Source organism: Homo sapiens, chromosome 18 (genome assembly GCF_000001405.40).
Source record: "Homo sapiens chromosome 18, GRCh38.p14 Primary Assembly".
NCBI classification, from domain to species: Eukaryota; Metazoa; Chordata; class Mammalia; order Primates; family Hominidae; genus Homo; species Homo sapiens.
In genome coordinates, this window is record NC_000018.10 from 39,735,781 (window position 1) to 39,761,239 (window position 25,459).

General features: G+C 37.3%; 1 long non-coding RNA gene across 1 annotated transcript in view; it reads right to left on the minus strand.

The window, feature by feature from the left end:
* MIR924HG (MIR924 host gene) overlaps positions 1–16,215 on the minus strand; it is a 545,072-nt gene extending 528,857 nt beyond the window's left edge. The window contains exons 1-2 of the long non-coding RNA NR_024391.1: positions 16,125–16,215; positions 15,549–15,580 (exon numbers count right to left, since the gene is read on the minus strand). This is a non-coding gene — a long non-coding RNA (MIR924 host gene). The remainder of the gene's footprint in view (positions 1–15,548; positions 15,581–16,124) is intronic.
* Between the last annotated feature and the right edge of the window lie 9,244 nt (positions 16,216–25,459).

The following is a 25,459-nucleotide window of genomic DNA, read 5'->3' on the forward strand; positions in this document are numbered from 1 at the left end:
CACAGAGATGGCTTGGCACAAACTACTTTATCTAACTTTTGGAAGTGCCAATGTCCGAACCAGAGAAATCCAGTCATTGCTCAGTCATTCAAGGCACATGCTGGAACCAATTGGTCATGAACAAAGTGCTGTAGGACATGCCTATACACATACGTATGCACATACACACTCACATAGACATAAAGACACAACAACACATGCGCGTGCAGAGACATACACAGATACATATCCACATACACATGGAAAATGTTCTCAGCAGCTGAAGCCCTCAATGAGAGCTGGAGGTCCAAGACAGGGACACAGACTGTGCATAGAAATAGGGGAATATCTACCTAGAGGAAAATAAGTGATTATATGAAAAAGATACCTGCACACACATGTTTATAGCAGCACAACTTGCAATTGCAAAAATATAGAACCAGCCTAAATGCCCATCAGTCAGATAGAGTGGATGAAGAAAACGTGGTTTATATACATACACACACACAAACACACACACACACCAGGGAATACTACTCAGCCATAAAAAGGAACAAAATAATAGCATTCGCAGCCACCTGAATGGAACTCCAGACCATTATTCTAAGTGAAGTAACTAAGGAACGAAAAACCAAACATCATATGTTCTTACTCATAAGTAGAAACTAAGCTACGAGGATGCAAAGACATAAGAATGATACAGTGGACTTCGGGGACTTGGGGGAAAAGGTGGGAGGGGGGTGAGAGATAAAAGACTACACATTGGGTACAGTGTACACTGCTTGGGTGATGGGTGCACCAAAATCTCAGAAATCACCACTAAAGATTTTATTCATGTAACCAAACACCACTTGTTCCCTCAAAACCTATTGAAATAAAATAATAAATTGGTAACAAAAAGTTACCTTCTTAAATATACAATTATGTGAGATTTGAACAACACATAATGATGCATAACTGCAGCCATACAATCAGAATATATTGTACTGCTATCACGGCCCCAAATTCCCTCATACCCATTTGTAGATAACTTTTGCCCTCATTCGATCCTCTAAAAAGCCATGATCTGCCTTCTGTCAATATAACTTTTGCCTAACCCAGAAAGGCATTAAAATGGACTCATACAAGTACAGCAAAGAAATAGGGGGATGTCATTAATCCCAACAAAGTCAAGTTGGTCTCACAGCTGGATTATTGTTACAGCATCCAAACTGAGATCTGAAATGGCTTCTTAAACGGTTTTTTTTTTCCTGTCAAAATTTGCCACAAAGTGTGGGCTTAGAATGGATGGTTCAAGCCTTTGCAGACATTGTGATACCACAATGTGTATTTCTGATTCCTCACCATCAATGTGGCTTTCTTTGCCTCAGTGCATAGGCCTCCAAGTACCTGCTTCCGGAAATAAAGTTATGTTCAGAAAGTAAAGAAGGACCTGAGATGGAGAAAGAGTTTCCTGACTCTCAAAGTTTGGTTAGATTTCCCTTCTGTTTTTCTAGCAGTATTCTGTGCCTTCCCTTATCATAGCAGTAACGTTAAATATTATAATGGATGTCTTTCCCAAGAGTCTGAAGGCTCTTGCAGGGCAGGGTTTTCTCATATTTTCTATCTAGTAAGGTCTTGCATATTGCCTGGCTCCTAGTGAGGTCTCAGTAGTTCTTAAATAAATTACATATTATAGTTACCATTTGATGCTTTAATTAAATATGAATTCTTATTCTTAAAGTTGAATTAATTTATTCATCAAAAAATTATTAGCACCCACTATTTATGCTTGGTGATTACAAAGGCGGTAGTTACAAAAATAGAAAAAGCAAATACTCTTAAAAGGTTTTTTATAAAGGGTATGTGTGTGTGTGTGTAACAATGGAAGGACATTTTCAGATGGTGTTTAACTACTTGAGAAGATTTTAGAAATTTCATGCTGTAATAAAACAGTGTAAAGTAATTTAATCTATGTTGATTTGCATAATATAGTATATTATCTAGACTCTGCCTTTGATCATCACCCCCAAAAGAGAGGCATGTTCTTAAAATATCTTTGTTTCAGATAACAGAACTTCCATATCTCAATATGCGATGTAAGCCAGGTAGAATAGATTTAAAGCTGACTTGGACCTTTTTAAAAGAAATCTACATGGTTGTAGATGTTTGTTTGTGTTTTCCCATTTTATATATCTTGCTCATTCCTGGTCCCTGTGGACAGTCTGAATAAAAGGTCAGGTTACTGTCAACTGTGAGAAAGACTGTTTCAGAAATGCTTCCAGCTGAGATCTCGCAGGAGATGTCACACCTTGACATGTGTGTCAGGACTTAAGGAGATGCCTTTAAATTTATATGTAAATATGCCATTTGATTGAGTGCATGTAGATGTTATGGTTATATAAGTATGCATGTGGTATGTACGTGACAGCATATAAATGTGTACATGTGTGTTATGTGCATAATTTGTGTTATATATGCATGTTTGGGTTGTATATTAGCGTATGCTGTGTGTCTGTGAATGTGTGTTGCATGTGTGCATTGAACATATATACGTTATGTTTAGGGGTGTGTGTATATATATGTAAATGTAGTGTGTGTGAGGAGAGACATTTCTGCCTTTTTTCCTGTACATGCTCAGGAAGTGAAAGAGAAAATATGGCATTATCTGTGGAGAATACAGCCTCAAATTAAATAGATTAAAAACAACCTTTCCTAGGCTGTCAGAGAAAATGTTGAAGGGTTTTCAAAAAGAGAAGGAAATCTCTCAGGCAACCGTATCTATATTTGCATTGCTTGTTTCAGAATAAAGACAAAAAATACAAATCCACAGCACACGCTTTTGACACAGAGTCATATTTTGAAAAGTGCTGGTTGGTAGCACCTCCGTGATGTGCCTGCTTGTGACATTTTAAGATCACAAATTGCTGCTAAGAAACACTCTCACTTTTCATATTTACACTTAAAAAATCTTTTCTTCTTAATGGTTAATTAGGTCACTAAAGAAGCTCTTAAGAAGAAGATGAAATGTTGACATTTTGCAATTATTTGCTACTGTGAATAATACATAAACATACTACTTACGGAGAAAGTAGCTTTCAACCCCTTTTTCTTCCATGAAAGCTCATGCTGACAGCAGAATCCCTGTGCCTTGGGTCACAGACAGCCACGCTACCTCCTTTTCTGCTTTAGGTACTTTGGGTGATTACGTTGTGCTTTTCCAAAGTGCAGAATCAGTATGGGGGTGTGTTTGTGTGTGTGTGTGTGTGTGTGTAAGTATACTGATCTTGTCTACTTCCAGTTACACCACAAGTGTTAAAACACTAGCACATCATTAATTACTTGAAGTAGAAACTCTTTTAGAAATCAGCTTAATCAGACATAGATAATATTCTAATAATTTAATCCTACAGCAAGCACTTTCTAAGTTCTTTAGTAACAGGATTATGACAAGTATGAGTAATGCAAAGATGACTAGGACACAGTATTTGCCCTTTGGAAGCTAAGAAAGAGATGACTTACAGTATTCAGCCATATTCAGGGACTATTGTAAAAGTATACAATGAAATATTATTCACCCTTAAAAAAGAAAAAAATCTTGCAATATGCAACAATATGAATGAATCTCAAAGACATTATGCTAAGTGAAATAAACCAATCACAGAAGTACAAATACTGCATGATTCCACTTACGGGAACTATTTAAAATAGCCAACTTCAGAGAATCAAATAGTAGAATGGTAGTTACCAGGGGCTGGGGGTGGGGAAAATGGGAAATTGCTAATCAATGGTCATAAATTTCAGTTACACAAGAGGAATAAGCTCTAGAGAGCTGCTGTACAGCATTGTGCCTATCATCAATAATACTATAATGTATACCTAAAATTTGTTGAGGGTAGATTGAATATTAAGTGTTCTTACCATACTAAAATGAAATTTTAAAAATTTGACTTCTTATTTTGTTTTGCCTCTGTACTTCAAATGTTTCTTCTTCCATCTTCTTTCAATCATTTAATCCCATTGTCAAAACCACCATCAATAGCCTCACCCCTCTAAAATCTCAATTTCAAACACTCCTTTCTCTTAACTTCTATTATTGCAGCTCTCTCATCCCCATGATTTGACAACAGTATATTATAAATTGAGCAACCTCAGCATCTTCATCATTATTCACCCGTATCTATCCACCATAATCTTTTTCATGCATTGCTGTGTAGTCTTCCCTCTGGCTTCCTTGCCCCCAACTTTGTTCCTTTGTTTTAACAGTCTCTTAAAATCATATATTAGATCATGCCAGTCACTTCAGTACATGGTTGTGGAAGGAAATAATAAATTCTTTAAATCTATCCACTTGTGTTGTCCTCATTGTCCTCACCCTAATCTAGGCTCACATAATCAGAAAACATGGTGCTGAGACTTCTACCTTCTGGTAATCGTATTATTTTCCTAGCATTGATGTAATAAAATATCCAGAATCTGAGTGGCTTATAACAACAGAAATTTATTTTATCACAGTTCTGGAGGCTAGGACTCTGAAATCAGTGTGTCACCAGGGCATGCACTTTCTAAAAGCTCTGGGGAAAAGATCCTTCCCTTACATTTCCTAGCTTCTTGTGGATGCTGGAAACCCTTGGCATTCCTTGGTTTACAGTTGCATCACTTCAATCTTTGCCACCCTCATTATATAATATCTTTCCCAGTGTGTCTGTGTCTCTTTTCCTCTTCTTATAAGACACTAGTCATTAGATTTAGGGTCTCACCCTAATCTAGCATGACTTCATCTTACACCAATTAATTACATCCGCAAAGACTCTATTTTCAAATAAGGTCACATTAGGAAAATTCAGTTGGAAATGAAGGCTTTTTTTTGTGGAGGGGGGCAACACTATTCAACTCACTACAGTAGTAATTTAGTCCTAAGGAAGACACAATATATTCACAAACATGAGCTCATTCAAACTCTCAATGACTTGGTGTTTTCATCTTCAAAAGGGGCATTGCACCTGCCATGTCTTCTTCACTGAGTGGTTGTGAACATTTAGATGAACATTTTGATGGAAAATGGTTGCATACAACAAGGGCCAATACACATATATTAAACATTTTTATTATATGGAAAGCATGTTGAGATTTATAATTCTTGAAATAATATATATGTATAAATAAGAAATAAAATACATCATTTCTTGCATTTTAAATTTAGAGTGCAATTCATTATCCTAATTTGCACGTTCAGTTTCTAGTATATTTTCAAATATGTATTAACAATCAGTGTTTTATTTAATTGAAAGTAAATTTAAAGATTATTTCTTATTTTCTTACATTTCAGTGATTGGACAATTAAGCCTCAAGCAATTAAATTATTTGTCCAGGTTTCTCCAGCTCATTGGCTGAAGAATGAGAACCCAGTTCTCCTTGCTCCCAAATGAAATGAGCAGCTAATATAAGATGTTAAGTGACCTAATTGAGTGGCTAGTAATTCTCAGTCTCTCCTCTTTGCAGACATTCTTCTTGGAATGTTTATTAATGTCAGATAGAGCAGGTAGATGGAGTTTAAAAAGATGATTGAATTCAGCTGAGACATTGTCTAGTCATTTGATACTGCTCATGTTTCTTAATCTCTTTCAGATTTGGTTTCCTCAGCTGTAAAATGAGAACAATATTTATTCACAGAGTTAATGTGAATATTATTTGCTTAACATGAATAAATCACATAAATCATAGTCCCTTCCAGGTTTCTTAACTATGCATACATAAAGGTGATTTACTATGCATACATATATACATGCATACATAAACATACACACATTCCCCACACATGCAATAGCATGGCAAACAGTCACACTCAATAAAAGAGATATGATGATGATGATGTGACCAAAATAACAGAGATATGAGAGTGCTTCAGGGAAGCAATTATAACACACTTTTTCTTAAAGAATTAATAGAAAGCCAGGCATGTAACCAGACCCTGGTAGGTTCTTTGCTTACGTCACCTTATAAAATTTTCTCAGCAACATTAGAAAATAAAGATCCTGGTTTTATGGATGAGAAAATTAATGATCAAAACATTCAACTAAGTTGTCCAAACCCACAAACTTAATATTTGCTAAAGACGGATTTCAAATGGATGTCCGTCTAAAGGCAAAGGTTAGGATCTGTCTTGGAGCTGATAGGCACAGGCTGTGAAATATGCAGAAATGCAGAAACTAGAATTGGAGCATTACTCAGCATAGTTATTTAGAAAGCCCTTTTGACATCCAGGCACTGATGAACGAGCGAGTAAATGCATGCTTCTGCACCTGGCAGTTTCCGGACACCTTCCAAGCTCAGATTCTGCCTCTGCTCTGCCTCTTGGGATGACTGCTTGATTAATGAGCTCCCATTCATAAAGCTTTCTGATGAGGAATACGCGCCATGGCTGTAAGTGGTAAGTCATATCATTGTTTGGATTGGCACTGAGACATGCAGGCAAAAGCTTTACCCCTGTGGCTAGGGAAATGGAGGGATAATATAATCAAATCTGTGGATTCATGCTCTGCAAGTCTGTAGGCTTATCGTAGGGGGCCACTTTGAGTAGAAGTCAGTTGGATTCCTGGCTGAATGTTATGTGTTCCAGTTCCCTATGTTTATTAAGTATTTTCAAGATTATATCTTAACCTAATCCTTTCCAAGCCTTTGGAATTCATTCTAGTTAGCTCACAGATGGATGAAACACAGAAAAAGTTAAAAGAAAATGCTTGTGGATTGGTTTTCCCTGAATGTTTCTGATTTAGGGCAGAATTTAGGGAGGAAGAATAAATTTAAAATATCTTTGAGAGATAAAGAGAAAAAAATATAAAACCTTAGCCTTAACTTCCTGTGTGTAAGCCTCACCAAAGAGCTAACAAAGAAATGCTGTGTGCTTTCTGGGCCCTGGGCATCTCAGGATATACAGCTGAGTGTGTGCTTATGTTTTAGTTTACCTGTCTGAAATCTCTAAGTGTTTGTCTACACAACTGTAAGATAATGGATTGATTTTTAAAAAATAATCTAGTCAATGATTTTTATTTTGCAGGGTGCCAAACAACCTATTTGATTTTTAAAAATAAACTTCCATTTTAAAGTGCAGTAGACGCAGACCAAATGAAAGTTGGCTTATTTGTCCCTTCTAGGTTTATGTTTCTACGAATCAATATTTTTAATTATATAGCAGCTTTTCAATAACTCTCAAGTGTGTGTGCAACATATAGTTTCCAAAGAATTAGTCAGAAGTACTTTTGCAAAATATAGTATGCTGGCTTGTAAGGCCAGTCTTAGCATGTGTATAATCATTCGTTCATTCTTTGGTCATTTATTTAACAAATGTTTTTGGAGCAACTATTATCTATGAGAGGTGGTAATGGAAGTGATGGGTATGTATGAGTTTAAAAAGAAAAACACAGAAGGCTCAGACTTGAGGACAGGAGTTTCTTTAGAGCTGTATGGTGATGTGCAGACATGTTCTCATGTATTTGTCTTACGGGCTACAAATAACAGGTGCCACATGAATAGGGATCATTAAATATACACCTAATGAAGTTAAAAGGATTCATTAAATGATACAGTGGTTTGATATTTTAGTCATCATGATTCTTATGTACCACCTGTCTCAGTGTCTGAAATGCCACAATAAGCAAACTGTTATTTATTTAATCTTAAAAAAGATCTTGCTTTTCAGATAATTTTCAGTTTAAGGCAAATACCTTTTTGAAGAAGTAGAATAAGTAATGACTAAGCTCCCTTCACCACATCAAATCCTGGGGACACACATAAACACATACATACATGCTCTGACAATATATAAACATATATATAATATTATATATAAATATATCTAATATATAATGTATTATATAATAAATGTTATATAAAGTTATATTTATATACATATTATATTCATTATATTATATATAATTTATATATAATAAATTTATATAATGTATAACACATTTATATATAATCTAATATATATTCAAATATATTGTGTGAAAATACACAATACTTAGTAAATATGAAGAGAAGAAAAGTAATATCCCAGTGGAGCAGTCTGCTGGACACCACCCTAATCAATTGATCAAATTGAGCACACATGAAAGGGTGCAATGGGAAGGACCCAGCAGGTGGGTCTGTCTGTGACAGTCCTGCCAAGGATGCATAACCTGACTCCTACTGCAAGGAAACCTCAGAAGAAACCCAAATTGCTATAACTGGCCTATAATGGTTAAAAGTGTCACAGTCATGAAAGTCAAAGAAAGGCTTTCATGGAGGCATTTTAGATTGAATGTGACCAAAGAGACATGGAAGGTAAATGAAAAAGATTGCTTAAAGGGCATTTCTGGGGCAATTATAGACACTTGACTAGAGTCTACAGATTAGGTGGTAAGTAGTGATGCAGCAATGTTACTTTTCTAGTTTTCATGGTTGTACTATATTATGCGCAACAAGTATTGGCAAACTTTTTTCTGTAAAGATCCAGAGTACATATTTTAGGCTTTGTGTGCCATACAGCCTCAGTCACAACTACTTAAATCTGCCACTGTCGTATAAATGCAGTCACATACAACATGTAAACAAATAAATGTGGAAGTGTTCCAATAAAACTTTATTTACAAAAACAGGTAGCAGGTGAGGTTTGGCCTGTGAGCCACAGTTCACTGACTCCTGATATAGAAAAATGCCTTTTTCATAAAAACAAACATATACACTGAAGTTACCAGGGGTATTGGGAAATCTAATTAAAAAATTACTATCAAGTGGTTCAGGAAAAGAAAAGATGCTGCATTGTACCTGCAAAAATTTGAGATTGTTTGAAAATAAAAATACTTATATACAAAAAATCACTATCTCAAACATATCAGACATCCATAAATATAGTAAGCCTTGGAAAATTTAAGTGTATCCAATGACTTAATGTGTAGCTCTAGTGAAGCTAATAACATTAAAGATGACCAAGAGTAGTTTAAATAAAATTCTTTCACGTAATTGAGAGTGGAAAACTGCAATATCACCAGATAAACACATTTTAAATATGTAACATTAAAAAAGCATATAATACTAAGTTTTAATTAAACTGTTTTAAGTAGACTTTTGAATATTTATGTTACAGCCCCCAAATCTTGCATTTAATTATTTAAATTGGGCAAAATATTTCATTTGGCTCTTTTTTTAATTGGAAAAACAAGGGACTTTGATCAAATTCAGATTTGTCTAATAACAGTGTATATGGTATCTCCCGCTTCCCTTTCTGTGGAGTTTAGCCCTTATACTGAGGCAATCTAGTTAGCAGAAAAGTCAAGCTTTCTGAATCTGAGTAACTTATCTAATCAAATAAGTTTCAGTTTCCTCAGTATAAAGTTTAATTATACTGTATATGTGAACTAAATGGTCTTTTTTTTTCTTGGCACTTAATGTATTCTCAATTAATATTAATTTCTTTCTATATCTCTTATACTATTTACATTCAATTTTTTGCTTTCTATCAGCATCAATATCCGAGAAATGCTATAGAGATTTTTGAGGGAAAAAAACTTTTTTTTTGCCTTCCTGGCAATCCAAATGGTGCAAAATATAAAGCTAACATCAAAGTGGGCAATTGGCAAACGTTTGGTGGCAGATTGACCTAGTGGATGTCATTCCGAATTTTATTATTTCATTGGCCCATTCAGTACATGTTCTCCTTTTTTGTTGTAAGTATCCCATCCTGAATATTTGACTACTTCAGAAAGTACAAGGTAGGCAGAATAGATTTATGTTTTAATAAATTAAATTTATTTTATTTATATTATGTCTTAGGGCCTTGAAGTACAGTGCAATAATGCAGTTACCATCCCTTTTTAGGAATGTATCTTTGCCAAAATCCTTACCAGCCTGCCCACAGCATCAAACACACAACACCTCTTAACACAGAGCTATTTCAAATTAAAGTAAAACGCAGTTCAATGCTATAAATGGAGAGACACAGACACACGGACACACACCACATGCACTCTCACACAGAGTAGAAAAAGCCATGCCTGTTGAAACGCATCAATTTTATAAATTAGGTAGCCTACTACCGCATAGTTGAACTATAATTAGGTTCTTAATTCTGTTCTTACACCAGAACATTGTCTAATACTTTTATTGAAATAACTAGGCTTCTTCTATCAGCAAGATTTTCTTAAAGAACATCTGATCATTTAAATTTATTAAGACACAGCAGCAATGCCCTTTAACAGCCATGAAGATTGATTGGTATTTTCATTAAAACTGTTACCTTTTAAAGAAGCTATATGAAGTACTGATGACATTTCCCAGTATGAGTGCCCAAATCCTCTGTCTAATTGTGTATCTATTATATGGCCAGATATAAAGATCCAATGAGTTCTGTATAGAAATTATAACTAGATTCAAAGAGCAAGTAGGCTACCAGACAGGCAAGACATATACAAGTGAAAAACAAAAAGCAGCTACAACACAAAGAAATTCATGATAAAGGTTTAAGAATGACACATATTATTCATGGGCTTCAGAGGATGGAGACTATCTTGTTCAATTGGGTTGATCAGAAAAGCCTCAGGGACCAGACAGCCTCTTAGTAGGAATGAGAAGCGCATGTTAGATTCCCAAGAAGCAGTGTCAAAAACAACAAACTCTGTGGGTCTGTACTTATGCCGGTTTCCTGCCAACAACATATCTGATTTCTGTTGTGCCTGGGAGTCACACAAGGGCTTTACCCATATTTTTAAAAAGGAAGACTCGTGTTTAGAGAGATGTCTCTTATTCAGACAGAGATGCTAACATTTCACCTTCCAATGCAATGGTAGAATAATCCTATGTGAATGACTCTAAACGTCTACATTCACGTTCACACACTTTCAGGTCACAGGCAGGATGAAACTCTTAAAATGTTTTCTGTGGAGCATAAAAACATGTTTATACATGCTTTCCTTTTGCTTGTCTTGGGGATATTTTAGAGCAATTCAAGCAACACTAATCCTTGCACACTTTTAGATTCTGAAATGATCTTTTTTTTCCCTGCTACCATATTCCCACTCCTAGTCAAGGGCACAGCAAATTATCCTCTATCTGAGTCAGAAAAGTAAAGCTCACCCTAGATTCCTGACTTGCCACTAATATTCAACGAATCAGAAAGTCCTCTTTCTTCCAACTTCCGAGTATCTACAATTCTATTCTTTATCATTATTTAGGTCAGATCTCCCCCATGTCTAGTCCTACCTAATTTGCACCACTTTCCTCCTTGCGTGTTGTACTCCAGACTCACTGAAATACCTTTTATTTTCTCAGGGTTTGTCTATGTCCTTTGTACTTTGTCCACAGTGATCCCTCTGCTAGAATGACCAACAGTCCCCCAGGCTTTTGAGCATGGGTCTTCTTTTCCAGAAATTTTTCGGCAGTTTTTCTCCCTTGTTGGATTGTGTGTCTATTCTTTGGGTTCCTTTGGAGTCCCTGCTGTATTATATCATATCACTAACCATAATATGAAGTAATTGCTTATATATGTCTCTGCTTTCTTTGAGAGATCCTAATCTCCTTAAGAGAAGTAATTACCACCACCCCCTGAACAGAAAGTTCTGTGCAGAAACTCTTTCAGACTCCCTATTCCTCTCATAGTGCATGACACATATGAGGTACTCAACAACTATTTAGAGGAGACAATAATATTTTAACCAATGTTTTCAAACCAGAGGGACCCCAATAGTGTACTTTCTGATAACATGAACTCTGGCCTTAAAAGAGAAAAATTAGGAATAGTCAACATTGAATTTCATCTGATTATATTTTATTGTAATTTTTAATGCATAAGTATTTAATATTCCCCAAATACACCGTGAATGGCTCCTCCCAGATTAAGAATTCTATCTATTAGGGAAGATGACATTTGCTATGGCTTGGATGTGGTTTGTCCCCATTAAAACTCATGTTGAAGTTTAATGGCCAGTGAAGCAGTGTTGGGGAGTATGGTCTAATGGGAGGTGTCTAGCTCACAGAAGCTGATCCCTCATGAATAGGTTAATGCCTTCCCATAAAAGTTAGTGAATTTTCACTCTTATGAGACTAAATTAGTTACCAGAGGTCGGGTTGTGATAAAAATGAGTTTGGCTTCCTAGACATTCTCTTATTTCCCCTCTCACCATGGGATCTCTCTGCACATGCCTGCCTACTCTTCTGCTTCTCTGCCATGTTTCAACCCAGCACGTGGTTCTCTCCAGAAGCTGGACAGATGAGATGCTATGCTTTTGAACTCCCAGCCTGTAGCTGTGAGCCTGTAGCTCACAAATTGTGAGCTAAATAAATCTCTTTTCTTTGTAAATTACACAGCTTAAGTATTCTGTTATAGCAACACAAAACAGACTAAGAGGGAAAATTCATACTGAGGAGTGGGATGCTGCTATAAAGATACTATAAAGCAGCTTTGGAATTGGTTAAGGAGTAGTGACTGGAAAAATTTGGAGCAGACTACAAAAAGCCTGAATTGCCATAAATACAACATTAAGGGTGATTGTGGTGAGAGTTCAGAGAAAGACAACAAAGTGAGGAAAAGTTTAGAACTTCTTAGAAATTGGTTAAGTGGTTGTGACCAAAATGCTGCTAGAATTATAGATGATAAAATAGAAATTAAAATAAATTAAATATTTAAAAAATAATAAAGAAATATAAATGGTGAAGGCTGTTTTAATGAAGTCTCTTCATGGAAATGAATAAAAAACTTATTGGGAACTGAAGGAAAGTTCATCCTTTTTAACTATGGGAAAGAATTTGGCTGCATTTTGTCTATGCTCTAGGGGTTTGTGGAAGGCTGAACTTAAGGGTAATGAAATAGTGCATCTGGTGGAAGAAGTTTTGAAGCAAGAAAGCGCTCAGGCTGCTGCATTGTTACCTCTAACTACTTACAGCGAGCTTCTAGAGAAAAAGGAAATAGAGCAAAAAGATTTGGAAAATTTGCAATCTGGCTATCTGATAGGGAATAAAAGACTATTTTCAGAGAGAAACCCAAGGGTGCAGCCAAACAGACTGCTTACTCTTAGTAACATTATCATATATAAAAGGGAACCAGGTGCTATGCATCAGAACAATGAAAAAAGGCCCTGAAGGCCCTGAAGGCATTTCAAAATTCTTCGAGGCCACCCCTCCCATCACAGGCTTAGAGGACTAGGAGGACAAAACACTTTTGGGGAACAGGCCCAGATTGCTGCTGTCCTGCCCCACCTTGGAACACTGTTCCCTGGAGCAGCCATGGTTCAAACGGTCCCAGGTATGACTTGTACTACCACTCTAGAGAGTGTAAACCATAAGTCTTGGTGGTTTTCACATGGTGTTAAGTCTGCACATGCACAGAATTCAAGAGCTATGGAGGCTTGGTGGCTTCCACCCAGATTTCAGAAGGTGTACTAAAAATCCCGGAAGCCCAGGCAAAAACCTGTCACAGGGCCAGAGCCACCACAGAGCCATAAGCCTAGTGGAGCTATTGAAGACGGGCTGCTGCCATGATACCAGAACTGTAAAACTACCAGGATATAATTCTAGCCTGAAAAAGCCACAGGCACAGAACTCTAACCTGTGAGTAATCACATGGGCTGCACCCAGCAAAGCTATGGGTATGGGACTCCCTGAGGGCTTGGACATCTGCCCCTTGCTCCAGTATGTCCTGGAGACAGCACATGGAATGAAAGCTCTATGCTAGAGCTTTAAAATTTAATGTCTGCCCTGCTGGGTTTCAGATTTGTGTGTGGTCTATTACTCCTTCCTTTGGACAAATTTCTTTTTTGGGAAATAGAAGTAGTTACCCTATGACTGTACAACTATTATACTTTGGAAGTAAATAATTTGTTTTTGATTTTACAGGCTTACACATGGACTTTGGACTTTTGAGTTGATGCTGGAATGAGTTAACACTTTTGTGACTATTGGGATAGAATGATTATATTTTTATACCCAAGAAAGCAAGAAAGGCATAAGTTTTAGAGGGCCAGGAGCAGAATGCTATGGTTTGGATGTGGTTTGTCCTCACAAAAACTCATGCTGCAGCTTAATTGCCAGTCTGGCAATGTTGAGAGGTAGGTCCTAGTGCAAAATATTTGCGTCATGGGAACAGATGTCTCATGAATAGATGAATGCCCTCCCATGGGAGTGAATGAATCCTTGCTCTCACAGACGTATTAGTTACTAGAGAGCAAGTTGATATAAAAGTGAGCTTCACTTTCTTTACTCTTTCTTGCTTCCTTTATTGCCACGTGATCTCTTTGCACACACTCACTCACTTTTCCACTTCTCTGCTGTGTTTTGATCCAGCATGTAGCCCTCCCCAGAAACAAGTCAGATGTGGTGCTATGTTCTTGGACTTCCCAGCATACAAAATCATGAGCTAAATAAACCTCTTTTCTTTGTCAGTTACCCAGCCTCAGGTGTTGTGTGACAGCAAAACAAAACAAAGATAACATCCATTAAATGTATTAAATGAATTCCCACTCAGTGTGAAATCCAAGAAATATAATTCCATTCACTTTTATCTATTTTTCCTGTTGGTTTACTTCTTTGGGTTCTTACAAGCAAAAAACAAAAAACCTAGCCAACTATTTGTATAAATTTAACAGATAGCATTAAATTCACTTAAAAAAATAGACCAATTTAGAATAAGGTCAATATAAGTGAAGGTCAGCTACAGTTTGGAATGAAGTCAAGGGTTGATGCCACCTCACACATTCATTTAAATAATTCTAGATGCACAGTCTAGCTGTGGAGTCTGCAGAGAACTAATCTCTACCTCCTGAGGAGAAAGAATGTGGACATAGGCCATTCAAGGACATGAATAAAAGTTAACAGACTTTGTTCCACCAGAAAACTGGTGAAATCTGGGTCTTTGGGCATGATTCCTAGAGAAAAAAACTAAAAACTAAAGTTAAATCTCAGATTCATCACTTATTAACCATTTTATATTTATGAGGCTTAATCTGGGAATAATAAAAAGATAAATTTCATGGGAAAAAGATGCAAAAGAGAATGTATATGAAAGCACATTTAACATTAAATGCTATTATAAAATTGTATGAAATTATATAATATACATTTTTTGTATAATTGTATTCCATAACATAATAACGTGCAAATATAAAACCATCCTCAATAGAGTTTGTTTTTCTAGTACCTAAGATATATTTATATTTTCTATTTACTTCATGGCAGGAATTAGCCACTATCAGTTACTAGATAATACACTGAACAATTAGGAATTTTGAATTCTGTTGTAACCATTAGCAGACAACCATGTTATGTTAAACAAGCCACTCAACCTAAGATTATGTCTCCAGGTATCAAACAAGTTTGTCCCCAGCTCTAATATTTTAAAAAGCTCTATGTTTATTTCTGAGATTTTACTATTTTTTCTCTTCTACTTTTCATTTAATTTTAAGACAAATCTAATACAGGAAGTAAGTTAGAACAAAAGATGAAGACTTAAGGGAGAGTGACTTTGAAAATGGATTATTTCTTAAAAATACAAATTATAAAATTATGGGTCACAGAAAAATTAGTTTCCACTCCACTTCTCTCAAGCACATAAAAGCACTTACCAGCAGAACAGTTGCAACAGCTCAACGGTGCCCTGGAAAAGAAGAATTAGAGAAATGAGTCATTCTTAATGATTTTTGCCAAGGAAATATTCAAAATGTAGCTAGATAGGGCAAGATGAGAAAAAATTTCCTTGGTTGGAAAGTTTTCAGTGGCCTAGAAAAAAAAACACCCTTAAAACTCCATAAATACCAGTTAATTGGGGAAAAAATTATCATCTAATATTAAATGCTCATTAGCAAATAACAACAAAACACACACAGAGATACACATACATGCAAAAACAGTTACTAAAATAAATTCACATATCAAATGCCCCATAAGTACAAGGTACTGGGGGTAACATTAAGAGCTCTAAGATAACTCCTCGTCTCAACAAATATATAATCTAGGTGAAAAGAAAGACATACACAGATGTTCTGAATCAGTTAGGAGGACCATGACATCTTTCATCATCACTTGTCTTGATTCTGAACCTCTGACTTATATATGGCAGATACATACTTCCTAGATCTTTATTATCCCAGAATTGTCTCCTTCACCTTCTTGAAGTGGGTGTGCAGCTAAAGTGAGCTTACCTAGCCATCAGAGTCTCCATGGAATTCTCTGCGTATTTCAATATGGTCTGCATGTGACTTATTTCTGTACACTCTTACGATTCCTACCTTTGGACAAGAAACTGGGTCATGGGAGCAAGAGGGAGTTGGAGGAAAGAAAAGAAATCGGTACTGATTATCTACTTGTTGCCCTTTTCTTTGACATTGTCTTGTTTCTCTGACCACAGTCTTGTTCTGCCAGATTTGTTTCATTTTCTGCATGACTTCATCTGGATGGGCATTTCAAGCTGTGATTTCCAAGTTTGATCGTTCATTGTAGACCCTGTTATCACTGAAAAAGAGGCTTTAAAGTTCAAAGTAAGCTAGAATGAGCAATGTCTTAAAAGTTTGTATCTTTCTGATCCTTCTCTTCTGTTGGCTGCTTCAAAGAATGTCAAATTATTGTACATTGTGTAGCAAATATCTCCAATGGGTATTCTTTAAAAATGCACTCAGAAAACCAGTCTTCCAGCTCAAAGGTTTGATGGTGAAACCCCTTGTTATTAATGTAAAAAACTTGTTCTGTGAGCAGAACTTCAGCAGCCACAATTCTCCCACATAGTTCCCAGCTCATTGTTCTTGTCCTCAAATAGTGACTGAGGTGATCTGAATAGTTCCAGATTATTTGAAGTAACAATTGAACTCTGTTATCCACATGCACTGCATTCCTCACCACCCTCGGACACCAAAATGCCCCAAAGATGCTTTTGTACACCCTCCCTATTCGATCCTAGGCATGTTGTTAAAGCAAATGAAACAATTAAATCTTCTTTAACAAAGCATAGATATTCACCAGTTCTTACTCTTCCAGAATTCTAACCACAATCCATTCTTGTGTGAATGTCAGTTTCTATGGATCTGAGTTAAATAGATAATTGCTCAATTTCTACAAAAATATTTTTATCTAATCTAGTGGCATGATTATTTTTTACCTTCTTAGAACTCAAAAAAGAGTTTTGAAAATACACATAAAAAGGGAGCCCCCACCCCAGCCAAGGGAGGCGGTGACTGATTGTGCGACCTTGCCCGGGAAACCATGCTTTTCCTACAGATCTTTGCAACCCGTGGATCAGGAGATGCCCTAGTGACCCCATGTTACCAAGGACTTGGGTCCGAAGCATAGAGCTGTGTGGATTCTTGGCGGCCACTCAGGCATGCGTGGAGACCCAGGAGGTTTTGCATACTCCAGCCCTGGGAATTCCAGTGAGATAGGAGATCCTCTGTGCATTCCCCTTGGAAGGGGGCTGAAGCCAGGGAGCCAAGCGGTGTCATTCTGTGGGCCCCACTCCCATGGCACCTCTGGCACCTCACAAGTTAAAGACCCATTGGCCAGCCAGCTAGTGGCAGCAGACTGGAGACTGCCTGAAATGAGTTATCTGGGAGAGGGACAGCTGCCATTTCTGCGGCTCAAGTCAGCTGTTTTGGCCTGCCAGCTCCAGGGAGTCTGGGCAGTCCGGACTGGGAGGAATTTCCCATGGCACAGCACAGCTGCTGTGGCAGATCATGGCAAGACTGCTTCTTTAAGTGGGACCCCAATCCATCTCTCCTCACCAGGCCGGGGGAGAACTTCCCTATGGGAAGTTCAGCAATTCCAGCCAGGGTGTTAGGGACAGAACTCTGATCTCTCCCTGGGATGGAGCCACTGAAGGGAGGGGGGCAAACACCATATTTGCAGTTCAGCCTGCTGGCTTTGGAATGTCCAGGCAGCTTGGATGAAGAAAGTTCCCCTCAGCGCAGCACACCTGCTCTGCCAAGAGGCAGCCAGACTGCTTCTTTTTTTTTTTTTTTTTTTTTTTGAGGTGGAGTCTCACTCTGTCACCCAGACTGGAGTGCAGCAGTAGCTGATCTCAGCTTACTGCAACTTCCGCCTCCCAGGTTCCAGCGATTCTCCTGCCTCAGCCTCCCAAGTAGCTGGGATTATAGGCACATGCCACCATGCCCGGCTAATTCTTGTCTTTTTAGTAGAGACAGGGTTTCACCATGTTGGCCAGGCTGGTCTCGAACTCCTGACCTCAGATGATCCACCCACCTTGGCCTCTCAAAGTGCTGGGATTACAGGTGTGAGCCACCGCGCCTGGCCCAGAATGCTTCTTTAAGCAAGTCCCTGATCCTTTTCTTCCTGACTGGGTGAGACTTCCCAGTAGGAGTCTCCAGACACCTACAAGGAGCCTTGGGGCCGGCATCAGGTCGGTGCTCCCCTGGGATGGAGCCCCCAGAGGAAGGAGCAGGCTGCCATATTTGCTGTTTTGTAGCCTTCACTGGTGATATCTCCAGGTATGGGAGAGCATGAGGTGACTAGGGTCTGGAGTGGAACCCCAGCAAACTGCAGCAGCCCTATGGAAGACGGGACAAACTGAAAAACAACAACAACAACAACAAAACAGAAAGCAACAATAACATCAACAAAAAGACCCCACAAAAACCCCATTCAAAAGTCAGCAACCTCAAAGATCAAAAGTAGATAAGCTGACAAAGATGATAAAGAATTAATACAAAAATGCTGAAAACTCAAAAAGCCAAAGTGTCTCTTCTCCTCCAAATGACTGCAACACCTCTCCAGCAAGGACACAGAACTGTGCTGAGGCTGAGATGGATGAATTGACAGAACTAGGCTTCAGAAGGTGGGTATAATGAGCTTCGCTGAGCTAAGGAGCATGTTGTAACCCAATGCAAAGAAGCTAAGAATCATGATAAAACATTATATGAGCTGATAACCAGAATAACCAGTTAAAGAGGAACATAAATGACCTGATGGAGCTGAAAAACACAACATGAGTACTTCACAATGCGATCACAAGTATCAATAGCCAAACAGACCAAGTGGAGGAAAGAATCTCAGACCTTTAAGACTATATTTATGAAACAAGACAGGCAGATGAGAGTACAGAAAATAGAATGAAAAGGAATGAACAGAACCTCTGAGATATACAGGGTTATGTAAAAAGACTGAACCTATGACTGACTAGGGTCCCTGAAAGAGACAGGGAGAACAGAAACAAGTTGTAAAACATACTTCAGGATATCATCCAGGAGAACTTCCCCAATCTAGCTAGACAGACCAACATTCAAATTCAGGAAAGGCATAGAACCTCGGTAAGATAGTACATGAGAAGATCAACCCCAAGACACATAAAAATCAGATTCTCCAAGGTCAAAATGAAAGAAAAATTTTCAAGGCAGCCACAGAGAAAGGCCAGGTGACCTACAGAGGAAAGACCATCAGACTAATAGCGCATCTTTCATTGGAAATCCTACAAGCCTGAAGAGATGGGAGGCCAATATTCAATATTCTAAAGAAAAAAAATTCCAACCCAGAATTTCACATCTGGCCAAACTAAGCTTCATAAGTGAAGGAGAAATAAAATCCTTTTCAGACAAGCAAATGGGGAGGGAACTCGTTACCACCAGCCCTGCCTTGCAAGAGCTCCTGAAGGAAGAACTAAATATGTAAAGGAAAAGCCATTACCAGCCACTAGGAAAACACACTGAAGTACACAGACCAGTGACACTATGAAGCAACATAAACACGTTTGCAAAATAACCAGCTGATATCATGATGACAGGATCAAATTCACAAAAGACAATATTAATCTTAAATGTAAATGGACTAAATGCCCCACTAAAAAGACACAGAATGGCAAGCTGGATACAGAGTCAACCTCCATTGGTGTGGTGTCTTCAAGAGACCCATAACACGTCAAAGACACACATAGGCTCAAAATAAATAGATGAAGGGGCCAGGCATGGTGGCTCATGCCTGTAATCCCAGCTCTTTGGGAGGCCAAGGCAGGTGGATCACAAGGTTAAGAGATCGAACCCATCCTGGCTAACACGGTGAAACCCCGTCTATACTAAAAATACACAAAATTAGCCTGTAGTCCTAGTTACTCAGGAGGCTGAGGCAGGAGAATGGCAAGAACCTGGGAGGCGGAGCTTGCAGTGAGCCGAGATCGTGCCACTGCACTCCAGCCTGGGTGACTCCATCTCAAAAAAAAGAAAAAAAAAAAGAGATGAAGGAAAATTTACCAAGCAAATGGAAAAGAACAAAAAAAGCAAGGGTTATAATCTTAGTTTCTGACAAAACAGACTTTAAGCCAACAAAGTTCAAAAAAGACAAAGGGCATTAAATAACGGTAAAGGGTTCAATTCACTGAGAAGTGCTAACTATCCTAAATATAAATGACCCCAATACAGGAGCATCCATATTTACAAAGCAAGTTCTCAGAGACCTAAAAAGAGACTTAGACTCCAGCACAATGATGATGGAAAATCTAAATGCCCATTAACAATATTAGACGGATCATGGAGACAGAAAATTAACAAAGGTATTCAGGACCTGAACTCACCTCTGGATCAAATAGACCTGATAGATACCTACAGAACTCTCCACCCCAAAACAACAGAATATACATTCTTCTCATCGCCACATGGCACTTACTGTAAAACTGATCACATAATTGGAAGTAAAACATTCCTCAGCAAAAGAACTGAAATCATAACAAACTGTCTCTCAGATCACAGAGCAGTCAAATTAAAACTCAAGATTAAGAAACACACCCAAAACCACACAACTACATGGAAATTGAACAACCTGCTCCTGAGTGACTCCTGGGTAAATAATGAAATTAAGGCAGAAATCAAGAAGTTCTTTGAAACCAATGAGAACAAAGAGACAATGTATTAGAATCTCTGGGACAAAGCTAAAGAAGTGTTAAGAGGAAAATTTATAGCACTAAATGCCCACATCAAAAAGCTAAAAAGATCTCAAATTTACAACTTAACATCACAACTAAAAGAATGAGAGAACCAAAAGCAAACAAATGTCAAAGTTACCAGAAGACAAGACATAACCAACATCAGAGCAGAACTGAAGGAGACAGAGACACGCAAAAAACTTCAAAGAAATCAACAAATCCAGAAGCTGTTTTTTTCTGAAAAAAAATTAATAAAATAGATAGACTGCTAGCTAGATTAATGAAGAAGAAAAGAGAGAAGAATCAAATAGACATAATCAGAAATGATAAGGGCGATATCACCACTGACCCCACATAAATATAAACAACAATCAAAGAATACTTTAAACACCTCTATGCATGTAAACTAGAAAATCTAGAAGAAACAGATAAATTCCTAGATACATACACTCTCCCAAGACTGAACCAGGAAAAACTCTGGTCTGTATGTGCCTTATTTCCCTAAATGGACCAATAATGAGTTCTGTAATTAAGGCAGCAATAAGTAGCCTACCAACCAAAAAAACAAAAAAAAAGCCAGAACCAGAAGGATTCACAGCTGAATTCTACCAGATGTACAAGGAAGAGCTGGTACCATTCCTATTGAAACTATTCCAAACAATTGAAAAGAAGGGACTCCTCCCTAACTCATTCTATGAGGCCAGCATCATCCTGATGCCAAAACCTGGCAGAGATACAACAAAAAAAGAAAACTTCAGACCAATATCCCTAATGAACATAGATGCAAAAATCCTCAATAAAATACCAGCAAACTGAATCCAGCAGCACATCAAAATGCTTATCCACAATGATCAAGTTTGCTTCATCCCTGGGATGCAAGGTTGCTTCAACATAAACAAATCAATAAATGTAATTCATCACATAAACATAACTAAAGAAAAAAATGAATAATTATCTCAATAGATGCAGAAAAGGCCTTTGATAAAATTAAACATCCTTCCATGTTAAAACTCTCAATAAACTAGCTATTGAAGGAAAAGGACATAAATGGACACTTCTCAAAAAAGGACATTCATGCAGACAACATATGAAAAAAAGCTAATTGTCATTGATCATTAGAGAAACGCAAATCAAAAACACAATAAGATACTATCTCATGCCAGTCAGAATGGCAATTATTAAAAAGGTCAGAAACAACAGATGCTGGAGAGGTTGTGGAGAAAAATGAATGCTTTTACACTGTTGGTGAGAATGTAAATTAGTTCAATCATTGTGGAATACAATATGGCAATTCCTCAAAGATTTAGAAGCAGAAATTCCATTTGACCCAGCAATCTCATTACTGGTATATACTCAAAAGACTACAAATCATTCTATTATAAAGATACATGCATGTGTATGTTTGTTGCATCACTATTCACAATAGCAAAGACATGGAATCAACCTAAATGCAGATAAATGATAGACTGGTTAAAGGAAATGAGGTATATATACATCATGGAATACTATGCAGCCATAAAAAGGAAGATCATATCCTTTGCAGGGAGATGGATAGAGCTCGAAGCTTTTATCCTCAGAAAACTAACACAGGAACAGATAACCAAATAAAGCATGTTCTCAGTTATAAGTGGGAGCTGAACAATGAGAACACATGGACACATAGGGGGAAAAACACACAATGGTGCCTGTTGGGGTGGGGGAGAAAGAGCATCAGGAAGAATAGCTAATGGATTGTGGGCTTAATACCTAGGTGATGGGTTAATCTCTGCAGCAAACCACCATGGCACATGTTTACCTATATGAGAAACCTGCACATCCTGCACATGTACTCCAGAAGGTAAAATAAAAGTTGATGAAGAAAAAAAAAGGAAAAAAAGTATAGGATATTTTGACGATTTGCTTTATAAATTTGTGTTGAAAATCCTTGATGTATATTCAATTTCTTCTCTTAGTAATGATATATGTAATTTGAATTTTAATAAATTAAGAATATATAAAAAGTAAAGTATTTAACTCTATAAGATTAAGATAATATTTTGTTTTACAAATTGCTTTACATTAAGTATTTAAAGTGTATTGCATTGAATATAATGTATCACCAACTTAAGCATTCAACATCGTATTATTTTTGCGTATAAAGTTAAGTTTCCTGGTTGAAAAGGGAAAATATTTCACAAGTGCAGATAAACATATATAATCTGATATAAGCAAAAGCAAATAAACAAAAATGAAAAGTAACAATGTGCCTAAAAGAGATATGCAAGAAACCTCATTAATTTGGACCCTACATATCTTAAACATAGAATTATACAGACACTGACTAGATTGAAATTGGTCATTGCAGTATCTAACTACAAAGCCTTATATTTTTGAATGAAGCTAAAATAAAATTGCTAAAGTGGAGTGAAAATAGGTGCCTCCTTGAAAGTTAATGGTTTGAGTACAGTTGGCCCTTGAACAATGCAGGGATTAGGGACAACAACCCTCCAACAGAGTCAAAAACCCACATATAACTACTACTTGCCCACTATTGATCAGAAGACTTACCAATAACATAAATAGTTAACACATATTTTGTACATATATGTGTGTGTGTGTGTGTGTGTGTATATATATATATAGTATTCTTATAATACAATAAGCTAGCAAAAAGAAAATGTCACTAAAAAAATCACAAAGAAGAAAAAGTATACTCTTCATTAAGTGGAGGTGGATCATCATAAAGGTCTTTTCCCTTTTCATCTTTACATTTAGTAGGCTGAGGAAGAGGAGGAAGGGGAGGAGTTAGCCTTGCTGTCTCAGAGGTGGCAGAGGCAGAATAAACTCCATATATGAGTGGACCCTTGTAGTTCAAACACATGTTGTTCAAAAGCCAACTGTACTTAGAAAATTATTAGTATCTTTATTTTTGAATTTTGGTAGAAGTGCTGGTTATAAATGATTCTTATCTACCGCTACATTAGGTTCTTCAGGGACCTTGAGGAAAACATGAAAGCAAACTGACTCATAAAAAAATTAGTATACTGTTTGATTGTGATCTGTATTAAGTTATTTAGTTGTTTTTATTTGGTCCCGACTGTATAAACTCATTAAACAATAGTTGAGAACACTAAGTGTTCCTCTATTGCTTTGAAAAAAATTAACTTTTTGTTTTGTTTTATTTTTAAATGTTTTATTATTTTTAAAATGATGTATTTGGAGCATATTTGAAGCATTAATAGTACATTGTTCTGAGGCACACTGGGTTTTTCTGTCTGCCCTCACCAAGACCAAACTGCACGCGTGTAATAACTTTTGTAAATCTTAGATAAATTTTACAACCCCATCTCAACGTGCACGCTGAAGGAATGAGTTATCACCTCACTGCAATATTTTCTTTAATGAACCGTTATTCCATTCTTTTGTTGCTGTGTACTTATTTGAAAATGAATGAAAAAATCTCTTCTTCCTAAAATGCATTTAAAAAGTACAAATTTTCCCTTCCTTCTCCCAGGAACTCCAGCCAAGTCTTATTATGTTTAGAGTTCCTTTATCCCAGAGGGCAATTCACATCTTTTTGTATTTCTGAATCATAAGAAAAAAAAAAAAAAGCTGTAAATGCAAATGTAAAAACCCCTCAAAATGACACTGATTTGTATTTGTGATTGAAATAATATTGTTGGATTGTCTTTAGGGAGATGTGGGCTGTTGTTTCTAGGGAAAGATACTGCTCCCAGCCTGGGAGAGAGTTGAGTTCTAAGCACATGGAAAAACAGAGGGGTAGAGGGGTCTGTGACTGGCCATAATGCTCATGCAGGATACAACAAGTATCCAGTCATAGTAGGGTCTGGGAATAGATGCCTGGACACTGAGCATTAATCATCATGCCATTGGGACCTGCAGTGAAAGAGGTGGATACCTCTGATTTCTAGTGGACCATGGTGATTAGAACAATGAGTCTTACAATGAAGCTCAGCGTTTGTAATGTTGGACTGCCCAGAGGGAAGTCTCTCCCCCACAAGTATGCTCCTGAGAGAGGTTTCTGAGCTGGATATGATTGCATTCAAAAGATAAAGAAATGTGACATTTCTTTCATTTTATGCATAGTGGAGAAAAACATACCTATTATTAAAACATTGTAATATGAGAATCCAAAATAAAAAAGTTATCTTTCTTAGGAAATACACTTCAGTAGTTTGCTTAAGGCTCTTAAGTTATTATAACAAGGTTTGATAGATTTTTTTTTTTTTTTGAAACAGAGTCTCACTCTGTCACCCAGGCTGGAGTGCAGTGCCGTGATCTTGGCTCACTGCAACCTCCACCTCCCTGGTTCAAGCAATTCCCCTGCCTCAGCCTCTTGAGTATTGAGTATCTGGGATTACAGGTGCACGCCACCATGTCTGGCTAATTTTTTTTTTTTTTTTGTATTTTTAGTAGATGTGGGGTTTCACCATGTTGGACAGACTGGTCTCAAATTCCTGACCTCAGGCAATCTGCCTGCCTCGGCCTCCCAAAGTGCTGGGATTCCAGGCGTGAGCCACCACGCCCAGCCTAGATTTTTTAAATGATGCATTTAGAGCACAGAGAATAACACAGTTTTGTAATGTAGTTGTTTTGTTTTGTTTTAATGCTGTCTTGACCCAG